At 35.9% G+C, this 11,745-nt stretch overlaps 1 annotated feature.

The window, feature by feature from the left end:
* Positions 4,127-4,402: an enhancer, noted in NCBI's record as "heart enhancer 14". NCBI's record gives its function as "activates a minimal c-fos promoter by transgenic reporter assays in zebrafish embryonic heart {active_cell/tissue: heart(embryonic)}" and the evidence as "EXISTENCE:transgenic organism evidence [ECO:0001131][PMID:20075146]".

Consider the following 11,745-nt stretch of genomic DNA (forward strand, 5'->3'; position numbering starts at 1 on the left):
TGTGCATTTTTTTACATAAATCAGATATTTTAGAAATCAATATATATCTTCATATTTTTACCTAATGACCTTTTTATATCAGCCCATACGGATTTATCAATTTGTTTTTAATGGGGACAGAGTATTCCATTTCCATAGCTGTACCATCATTCATTTAGCCCATCTCTTATTATTGAATATTTAAGGTGTTCCTGTTTTGCCTTTTAAATATTTTTATTTAGATATATTTTACATACAATGAAATACTCAGATCTGAGGGTTCCTGTTCATGGAGTTTTACAAATTTCACACACATGGAACCCACACTCTTGTCAAGACACAGACCATTTTCATCATCCCAGAAAGTTCCTACTCATTTCCCAAAAATTGTCACTATTCTGATTTCTTTCACCACAGATTAGTTTTACCTGTTCTAGCATGTCAAATATACGGAAACACAGAGAATGTAATTTTTTTTTGGTCCGGCTTTATTCAGTACAATGTTGGGTTTTCCTGTGGGATTCATCTGTGTCATCTAATTAACATACTTTTATTTAATGATAAGCGATGTCTTATTATTTGAGTATACAGCCATTTGTTATCCATTCTCTTATCATTGGATATTTGCATTGTTTCTACGTTTGTGCTACTGAGTCAAGCTTCTACAAACATCTTTTCATATATCTCGTTGTGACCATGTATTTCATTGCTTTTGGGAGTGCAATGGTTGGATCACAGAGTAGGTGTGTGTTCGACCTGTTAAGCAGCTACCAAACCACTTTCCACAGTGGCTATACCCTTTGATGCTCTTGCCAGGCGTGCATGAGCATTTGGGGGAATCAACAGTCTCACAGTCATTCACTGTTAATGGTCTTTTCAACTTTAGCTACTTTAGTGGTTGTGGAGTTGTATCTCATTATGGTTTGAATGTGCATTTGCTAATAACTAATGAGGACACAACATTCCAAGAAGAAATAATAACATTTTTGAAGACCCTAAAGCAAAAAAGGAGTGTTTTTTGAAATTTCTTATATGTGATTGTATAGAAAATATGTATATAAATATTATTAGCATTTCAGATTATATCTTTCTAGATCTTTCTCTCTCCACACACACACACATTTATTTAGTATAATTTTTTAATGTTTTTCTAGTAATATGTTATATGAATAACCATAACTGGTGCAGCCAAATCCCTAATTTTTGATATTTCCTAGTGCCTTTGTCCTTTTACTCTTTGCTCTGAAATTTGTTTGGGTAGAACTAGAGTAGCCCATCTCCTAAAATGTGGTCTCTCTTGGGTTGTGATTAAATGCCCTGGATATTCTGGGAGGTATCTTCTCTCTGGCTGGCTGGAATTTCCGTCTTCCAGCACCCTGTGGTGCCAGCATCCCCTGCAGCTTACAACTTCCCAGAGCTGTGCTTTTCCAGGCCCCAGGGATTCCACCCTACCTACACATGCACAGCTTAGCACTTGGCTAAAGACTTGAGAAAACCCTGCACATTTTTTTTTTTGTCTCTTCACTGCACAGCTTTCTCCTCTCCAGCGTGCTGCACTAGAATTCCAGCCACTCCAGAAGCCTCCAATCCTGCCTCACTTGGGCTCCACATTCCTGCCTCTTGGTCCACAAAGGGCCTATAGCAGAACACCGGGAGGATTATGGGGCAAACTGTGTGCATTTCTCTTCTCTCCAGGAACACAATCCTCTGCTTCTTGTCTGACACCTGAAAATAGTTGCTTCCTATATTTTGTGTAGTTTTGTAGTTACTTACACCAAGGGGGCTAGTCTGGTACCAGTTACTTTATCACATTCAAAAGTTATCTTCTTGTTTTTTTGTAAAATGAATTTGTCATAAAAAGTAAATCTTCAGTGGACATACATATAGCTCTATAGCTGTATCTCTACAGACACCTCAAATAATTTTCTTTATCTATTGAAAGTAATAATGCTGAGTCAAGATGTACAGTTTTTGAAATTTGTCTCCTATTTGTGCTAGTCTTTCAGTTATACCCTGGCTTGCTTCAACAGTAAATAGGCAATTTTTAATAATTACTTTCTAATTATAATGAAAATAAATACATGTAAACTGTACATTTTTTCCCAAGGAGTAAAGCAGAACTATAATGAAACAGAAATTTTTCTTCTGGATCAATACTCATCATCTTTAGAAAGAAAAAAAATTAATAGTTTTCTTCTGTATGTTTCAAAATTTTCTAGTTCTAAACATTCAAATGTGCAGTTTTTCTGCTTTTTTTTCATACAAATGGAAATATATTTTTGCATTCTTGTGCAATTTTTAAAAAGTAACAAAATATACTGAATAAATTTTTATATTAGCACAAATGTAGCTATCACATTTTAAAAAAACCTATAAATTATTCTTTCTACATGCACCATAATTTAATTAATAAGTTTCCCATTGATATGGTTTGGTTGTGTCCCCACTGAAATCTCATATTGAATTCCCATTTGTTGTGGGAGGGACCCAGCATGAGGTAATTGAATCATGGGGTCAGGTCTTTCCCAACTGTTCTCATGATAGTGAATAAGTCTCACAAGATCTGATGGTTTTAAAAACGGGAGTTTCCCTGCACAAGCTCTCATTCTTTCTTGCCGCCACCATGTAAGAAGTGCCTTTTACCTTCTGCCATGATTGTGAGACCTCCCCAGCCACGTGGAACTGTAAGTCCATTACACCTATTGTTCTTCCCACTCTTGGGCATGTCTTTGTCAGCAGCATGAAAACAGATTAGTACACCTATTGATGGACATTTATGCTGTTTTCAGTTTCTTTCAGTATTTTAAATAATGCTACAAGGAAAATTCGGTGCAGGCCTTCATGTAGACATAGTAATATACCTGTAAGGTAAATTTCCCAAAGTAAAATTGGAAGACCAAAGTAAATATGCATTGCATTTTGACAGACATTGGAAAAATGCTCTCCAAAGAGATTCCACCAACTTACACTCACACCAACAGCAAATGAGACCATCTGTTGGCCCACATCCTGTGCACAGTGTGAAAGATCAACTTTCCAATCTTTGCCAATCTGATAGGTTTTAAAAAATAGCATCTCATTTCGATTTGTGATTTAATTATGCATGAGATTATGCTTCTTTCTTTTTCTTCATATTGGTGTATGTTTGAACTGCTTATTCGTATCCTTTAAATAATAAACTGTAGTGGGGTCAAGCTGGGCCTGGTAGCTACTGCTGATGCTATTGAATTATGGTGAGTTAATCTAAGCAAGAAGCTCATGGGCCATGTAATTCACCCCAAGAAATGTTTCTGAAGTTGTACGGGTTTTTTTGGCATTGATTACAGGTTTAACGACTTTTACTCTCAAAATGCTTAATTCACATTACATATGTGTGTATGTTTGATTACACCAATGTTTCTGCATACTACTGCAAAATACTCTTTAAAATCTGGGGTCACATCCTGTTTCACAGATCTGATAATGAGTAAAGCCAAACTCTTAGCTCATGTTTGGGTATCTGGCCTCCATTAAGCTGCTGTCTCTATTACCACATAGTCCATTCAACATTCTCTCAATGTCTTGGAGGTGTTAGGGCAGAGGCTGGCACTGTACGTATTAATAAGATGTCCGGCTTAGTGACAGGAGGTCTTGTTTATTATAATGAACAAATGAAGGTGTTTCAAGTATATTTATGTGGCTGCTTAAGAGCCAACCTCCACTGCTGTGAGACTTAGTAAGAGGTGGCTACCAAGGACCTGCTCCTGCAAGCCTGTTCCCAGGCTCCCCCAAGCATGGCTCTGGGACACGGTGAGAGCTTTCTGTGAGCTTGTGTGAGACTCAGTCCCAGACAGAGGCTGCCTCCCACTTCTCAGCTGAATCCTGGGCTTTGGAAACCCTATTGTGTGCCAATATAATCAACCTACACATGATGTCACAAGACAGAGAAAACACTATAAATGGTATCCAAGTTCATGGCACTGAGTCTCCAAGGGCTGTGAGAGAAAAGGTTGGTAATGCTGGCATGATTGCTTGGCTGAAAGAAGGGCCATGGCAGGAAAGATGTAACTGAACTGAAGATGCAGCCACTGCTTCAACGTAAGACCTCACCTCGTTAATTTGGGTGATCAGAAAAGCAGACATTACCTCCTCCTGTCAATCGCCTTATTTTGGTGAATTCTTAAATAGCCTCTTAGCCACTGTTGTGACTCAATAATTGTGACCTTCTAACAGTTACCATGGAAAGAATTCCTAGATTATAAATAATGACAATGTGAGTTTCCTAGTTACCAAGTGTATTTATAAAATGAATTCCAAAGGTACATGACATTTAATTCCAGCCTATTTTTAGACACTAAAGGATAATAAAGGAAAATACTTTTTTTCCAGAAGAGGAAGAATTGTAACATTTTTCCAAATCTAGTTATAGAGCAGCACATCTATATGACTATAAGGAAAAAAAGGGGGGTTTTAGTAATATACTGTCCTTGGCAATTTAAAGGGAGCATTTACAATAATACAGATTTCACAATTAAATGGAGTCTCCAAAATCATGTATAGAATTTGATCTATACAAATTATCTTGGAAATAAAAAGATATAGTGTCCTTTAATAATTTTTTAAACACATAAATTGGGAAGACTTTTATGCCTTCTACTTTACAAAGTATTTCTTATTAAAGGAAATCATTATGTTTCATAAAGAACTCTTTCTTATTTTTTTTAATAGACATGATAGGGTCTTGCTGTGTTGGCAAGGTTAGTCTTGAACTCCTGGTCTCAAGCGATCCTCCCATCTTGGCCTCCCAAAGTGCTGGAATTACAGGACTGAGCCACTGTCCCTGGCCCTTCATAAAGAACTCTCGGAAGCACAAGTTTACCTAGTCAAAGAGTTACAATCCAAGAAAGAGGAGTGAAGATTCTGAAGGAATACATTACAAAAAAGAAAAGCTACTAAATGGTGTCTAAATCACATTTTAGTGTGCTGCAGAAATGACAGTTCAAAAAAAATTAGAGCAATGGAAATACAATAATTTTTATGTCCTGTCTAGTATTTTGTCTTTTCCAAACACTGTTCCAGGAGATACTTCAAAGAAGTTGATGTATAATGTTTCTTAGACTTGCATGCAATGGTCTCATAATTGAAACATTTTCTTCTTTCTGAATCTTGAATCAAATCCTATCTCTTGTCCATACTCTGAAACATGAAATTTGAGAATGGCTATGGTCCCTTTCTCCATCTTGAAAGCCAGCAACAGCAAATGGAGTCCTCCTCACATTGCTTAATTCACATTCTGTGATCACATCACCGTGACCTCTTCCATCCCAAGTCTCCCCCAGACTCTCACCTCCTGCCTTCTTCTCCCTCCGATGATGACCCTTGTGGTGACCTTGGTTCCACCTGGATAACCGAGGATACTCTCTCCATCTCAAGATCTTTAGCTTTTAACTTAATCACATCAGTAAAATCCATTTGCCACTAAGGTAGAACATACACAAGTTCTGGAGATCAGGATGTGGACCTCTTTGGAGAGGGGGACCATTATTCTGCCTGCCACAAGCATTTGTTTATTCTCTCAAAAATATTTCTTGAATATCTACTATATTCTTGATACAGTGCTGAACAGATGATTAGAAGGAGAATGGAGGGTTACCAGGGTATCTATGCATAAGTCTAGTAAAGGAATCAAAGGACTGGTGTTTGGGGCCTAGCATTTTCCCTTCTAATGCTTTTTCTATGTGTTACTCATTTTCTTCTTTCTTTTCTTCCAAATCTATAGGAAATCACAGTGTTATGAAATTAAAAGGTATTTTTGACTAAATATAATAATCACATTAATTAGTTTAGTTAATAGCAGGCAACTCATTATCCAAATTACAGCTCAATGTACTAGAAACAAATTAATACAAATTTTGTAATGATGCTAGTTGCAGGTCAATTTTAGTTCCAGAAAGAAGCCATGACTAGCAATTACATGCCTTCCTTTCTTTTCAAAGCTGTCATCTTTGAAGCATCCTCAAATGTTTGAAATAGAACTGGGTCAGATCTAGAAGCTAAAGTTTAGTGAAAAGACCATCATCATCAAATTCTGAGAATGCAAGGGAAATCAAGTCAATTATCAGCATCCCTGTAGATTTCAAGGTCATTAGAAACAGCAATGATCCTTACATGTCAGGGCAAAGACATAGCAGATTCCAGAAATGCTCAGAATATTCGACAAAATTCTGCCAGTGCCACCCCAGACTACAGCAGACTACAAAAGCCAATGCCTTTGCAACAAACAGGAAGGGGACATGGAGGAAGAGAGAATGGAAATTTGCAGCAGACAGCTGGGATCCCACACAGCAGTAGTGGCCATGGGAACTTGTACCAATGCCTTCATTGTGGTGCTGAATTTTTTGTTAAATGAAGGTTTTGAGCTGTTATCAATCACCTCTAAGATTTTTTTTTCATTTAAAAAGTATATGTCTTTGTCTGCAGTTCTCAAGTAATTTGATCTCAGGATCCCTTTACCTTCTTAAAAAATTATTGAGGACTCCACAAAGCTTTTGTTCATGTAGGCTATATCTACTGACATTTATTGTATTAGAAATTAGGGCTTAGAAAAAAATTTTAAATAGTTATTAACTTATTTACAGTTGATAACAAACCCATCACATGGTAACACAAATAACATATTTATTAAGAAATAACTCAAAACCAAAAACATTTACAACAGAATGGCATTGTCTGATAGCGAGGGAAATTCAGCCAGATATCGGGCAACTTCCAAAATCGCTTAGATGTCTGGCTGAATAGAAGAAAGCTGAATTCTTAGACCTGATTCTATATTTCATGTGTTTTGCTATCACAAGTCATACAGTCTTGGGAAGCTCCATCTGTGCTCTCATGAGACAAAGAAAGTGAAAAGGCAAATGACGCCTCAATATTATTATGGAAGTAGTTCTGAACTCTCAAAATCCCTAACAGGATCTTGGGGTTCCCCTCAGTATGTTCTACCATCAGGATTTAGTGGTGCCTCCCCACCGGGGGAGTGATCTGTGGGGTCTTCTGGAGTCTTCTGAAGTGGGAATGATTCAAATCCAGCTCATTGGTCTATACTGTTGGTTCTCATTCCTGCTATGAAAGCCATAGCTCAACAGTCTAATAAGTTCTTCAAGGTCAAGAAGAACCCAGGTCCTATCCCTACTGTTGCATTTCTTTCTTGCACTTTTCACTATACCTCATAGTACCAGGTAACTGACATGATTTCAAGCATCACAGGCATGACAATCATTATCTTTGACTTCCTTTAGGGATTTTTGTAAGAGCAAAGAAATATTTCCCAAATCTCCCAGCAAACCTGTTCTGTAACAGGTAACTAGTAACAATTGGACCATGTGCCTTTACCTAAACCCAATTCTAAAGAGGAGAATCAGCCTCCAGGATGGACTTAAGCTAAGGCAGGCTCACCCAACAACTGCAGCTGGACCCTGGTTGCCCTAAAGCTGTGGCTACATGAAAGAGAACTTTTACTTTCTTTGTAGAACTGGCTGTGGCTAAAAGGCAGGCAACCCACAGTTTCTGGCACAAAGGATTTCATAAGTTATAATATAGATAAGAAACAACTGAAAGAATACTTTAGCCCCTTAGAAAAAGATGAGTTGATCCTTTCATCACACCAACTTCTCTGTCTAGATGATTAAAGGTGGCCTCCTTTGTACTTGAATGGCACAACATCCACCAGAATTTAGGGTTATTCATTTTTATGCCTGCATACTGTTCCATAGTGTATATATACATTTTCTTTATCCAGTCTATTACTGATGGGCATTTGGGTTGGTTCCATGACTTTGCTATTGTAAACAGTGCTGCAATAAACATACATGTGCATGTGTCTTTATAGTAGAATGAATTATATGCCTTTGGGTATATACCCAGTAATGGGATTGCTGGGTCAAATGGTATTTCTGGTTCTAGATCCTTGAGGAATTGCCATGCTGTTTTCCACAATGGTTGAACTAATTCACATTCCCACCAACAGTGTAAAAGTGTTCCTATTTCTCCACAGCCTTGCCAGCATCTATTGTTTCTTGACTTTTTAATAATCGCCATTCTGACTGGCATGAGATGGTATCTCATTGTGATTTTGATTGGCATTTCTCTAATGATAAGTGATGTTGAGCTTTTTTTCATATGTTTGTTGGCCACGTAAATGTCTTCTGTTGAGAAGTGTCTGTTCATACCCTTGGCCCACTTTTTGATGAGATCAAATCCTTTACAGGGACATGGATGAAGCTGGAAGCCATCATCCTCAGCAAACTATCACCAAACCAAACACAGCACATTCTCACTCATAAGTGGGAGCTGAACAATGAGAACACATGGACACAGGGAGGGGAATAACACACACCATGGCCTGTTGGGGGATGAGGGGCGAGGGGAGAGAAATTAGAGGACAGGTCAATAGGTGCAGCAAACCACCATGCCACATGTATACCTATGTAACAAACCTGCATGTTCTGCACATGTATCCCAGAACTTAAAGTTAAAAAAAAAGAATTTAGGGCTTTTAAACATTTTTATTATATATTGTCAAACTACAGTTATATGTATTTATGGGATACAAGTGATGACATAATTTTTAAATACAATACGGAATAATTAAATTAAGCTAATTAACATACTCATCACCTCAAATATTTAATATTTTTGTGATAAGAACATTTGAAATGTACTCTCTTAGCAAATTTAAAGTGCACAGTATTCAATTATTAGCTATTTTCACCATGTTGTGCAATAGATCTCGAAAACAAACAAACAAACAAAAAAACAGTTATTCCTTTTATCTAATTGGGGTTTTGTGCCCTTTGTCTTTCCTCTACCCCTTCTCACAGCAACCTCTGGTAACCACCATTCAACTCTCTGATGCTATGAAAGCAATTGTTTTAGATTCCACACATAACTGAGAACAAGCAGTTTTTGTCTTTCTGTGCCTGGATTTTTCACTTAGCATAATTACAAATTTCATCCATTTGCTAAAAATGACAGAGTATCTCCCTTTTTAAAGGCTGAATAGGATTCTATTGTGTACATACACCACATTTTCCTTATCAATTCATCCATTGATGGACATTTAAGTTGATTCCTTCACTTGGCTATTGTGAATAGTGCTGCAGTAAACGTGGGAGTGCAAACATCTCTTCCATGTACTGATATCAAGCCCTCCAGGTAATTACCCAGGGATGGAATTGCTGGATCATACGATAATTCTATTTTTAGTTTTTTGAGGAAGCTCCAAACTATTTTCCACAATGGTTGTGCTAATTTACATTCTTACAGTGCACAAGAATTCTCTTTTCTCCACATCTTTGCCAATAGTTGTTATCTTTTGTCTTTTTGATAACAGTCTTGTTCTAAGAAGTATGAGGTGTTAACTCATTGGAGTTTTACTTTGCATCTCCCCAGTGATTAGTGATGTTGAGCATTTTTAAATGTACCTGTTAGCCATTCACATGTCATTTTTTTGAGATATCTATTCAAGTCTCTCGCCAATTTCTTAATCAGATTATTTTTCTTTCTGTAGAGTTGTTTCAGTTCCTCATATATTTTGGATATTTATCCTTTATCAGATATAAGGCTTGCAAATATTTTCTCCCAGTCCACACACAGTGTCTCTTCACTGTGTTAATTGCTTCTTTTGTTATGCAGAGGGTTTTATTTTGATTTAATCTCATTTGTCTATTTTTGCTTTTGACACCTATGCTTTTGGGGTCAAATCTAAAAACATCATTGCATAGACTGATGTGATGCAGTTTTTTTCATATATCTTTTTCCAGTAGTTTTACAATTTCATGTCTTACATGTAAGTCTTAATCCATTTTGAATGGATTTTCTTATATGGTGTGAGATATGGGTCTAATTTCATTCTTTTGCATATAAATATTCAGGTTTTCCAGTACCACTTACTGAAGACACTGTCCTTATCCTTCTGTGTCTATTTTTATGTCAGTACTATGCCATTTTAATTACTATCACTTTGTAGTATAGTTTAAAATCAGGTAGTGTAATGTCTCTAGCTTTGTTCTTTTTGATCATGATTGCTTTGGTTATTCAGGATTTTTTATAGGTCCATATAAATTTTAGGAAATTTTTCTATATTAATGAAATATGACATTAAAATTTTGATAGAAATTGCATGGAACCTGTAGATCACTTTGGGTAGCATATACATTTTAATAATATTATTTATTCCAGTCTATGAAAACAGCATACCTGTCTATTTATTTGTGTCTTCTTTCATTAATATTTTACAGTTTTAAGTGTAGGGTCTCTCATCTTTTGGTTATTTTTTTCCTAAGTATATTTTCTGTAGCAATTATGAATGGGATTATTTTAATTTATTTATCAGATGGCCTGTTGTTAGTGTAATGAAACATTACTGATTTTTTGTTTTAATTTTGTATCCTGCAATTTTATTAAATTTATCAGTTTTACAGTTTTTTGGTCAAATCTTTATGGTTTTCTATATATAATGTCATATCATCCACACACAGTAACAGTTTCACTTCTTTCTGTCACACTTGGATGCCTTTATTTCTTTCTCTTGCCTTATTGGTCTAGCAAGCACTTCCAATACTATACTGAATTAAAGTGATGAGAGTAGGCATCCTTGTATTGTTCCAGCTCTTACAAGGGGCCCTTTTTAAAGGGTTCCAATTCTTTTACTATTGAGTGTAATATTTACAGTGGGCTTATTATATATGGCCTTTATTACCTTTATTGTGTAGAACTTCCTTACTTGTATACCTGATCTGTTGAATGTTTCATGACAAAATAATGTTACATTTTGTCAAATATTTCTTCTGTATCTAATGAGATGATATGATTTTTGTCTTTCATTCTGTTAATGTATTAACTGTATATCACATTTACTGATTTTCAAATGTTGAACCATCCTTGCATCGCAGTGATAAATCCCACTTGATCATAGTGAGTAATCCTTTTCATGTGTTGTCAAATTTATTCTGCTACAATTTTTTTGAGAATTTTTTCATCTATGGTCATCAAGCATAATAGCCGATAGTTTTCTTTTCTTTTTGATGTCCTACTAAGGCTTTCATATTAGCGGAATGCTGGGCTTATTGAAGGAGTTTGAAAGTATCCCCTCATCTTTGACTTTTTGGAAAAGTTAATTGAGAACTGGTATTATTAATAGTTCTTCTTTCAGTGTTTGGTAGAATTCAGTAGCTAAGCCATCAGGTCCTGAGCTTTTCTTTGATGAGAGATATTTTATTATGGATTTAATTTCTTTATGCCTTATTAATATGTTCAGGTTTTCTATTTCTTCATGATTTAATTTTGGTAGATTGTATGGATTTAGGAATTTACCCATTTCATCTAGGTTATTCAACTTGTTGATGAATAATTGTACATAGTAGTCTCATGATTACTCACATTTCTGTAATATCAGTTATAGTATCTCCTCTTTCAGTTCTGATTTTATTAATCTGAATCTTCTCTCATTTTTTTCTTAGTCTACATAATAGTCAATTTTGTTTATCTTTCCAAAAAACAAACTCTTAGTTTTGTTCATCTTTTCTACTGCTTAGCTTGGCTCTGCTACATTTATTTGTGCTCTGATCTTTATTGTTTTCTTTCTTTTACTTAGTTTGTTCTCCTTTTGCTAGTTCCTTAAGGTGTAACATAGGTTGTTTATTTGGGATCTTTCTTCTTGTTTGATGTAGGTATTTATTGCTATAAACTTCCCTCTTAGACCTGCTTTTGGTGCATTTTATAAGTTTGGTA

Source organism: Homo sapiens, chromosome 13 (assembly GCF_000001405.40).
Source record: "Homo sapiens chromosome 13, GRCh38.p14 Primary Assembly".
NCBI classification, from domain to species: domain Eukaryota; kingdom Metazoa; phylum Chordata; class Mammalia; order Primates; family Hominidae; genus Homo; species Homo sapiens.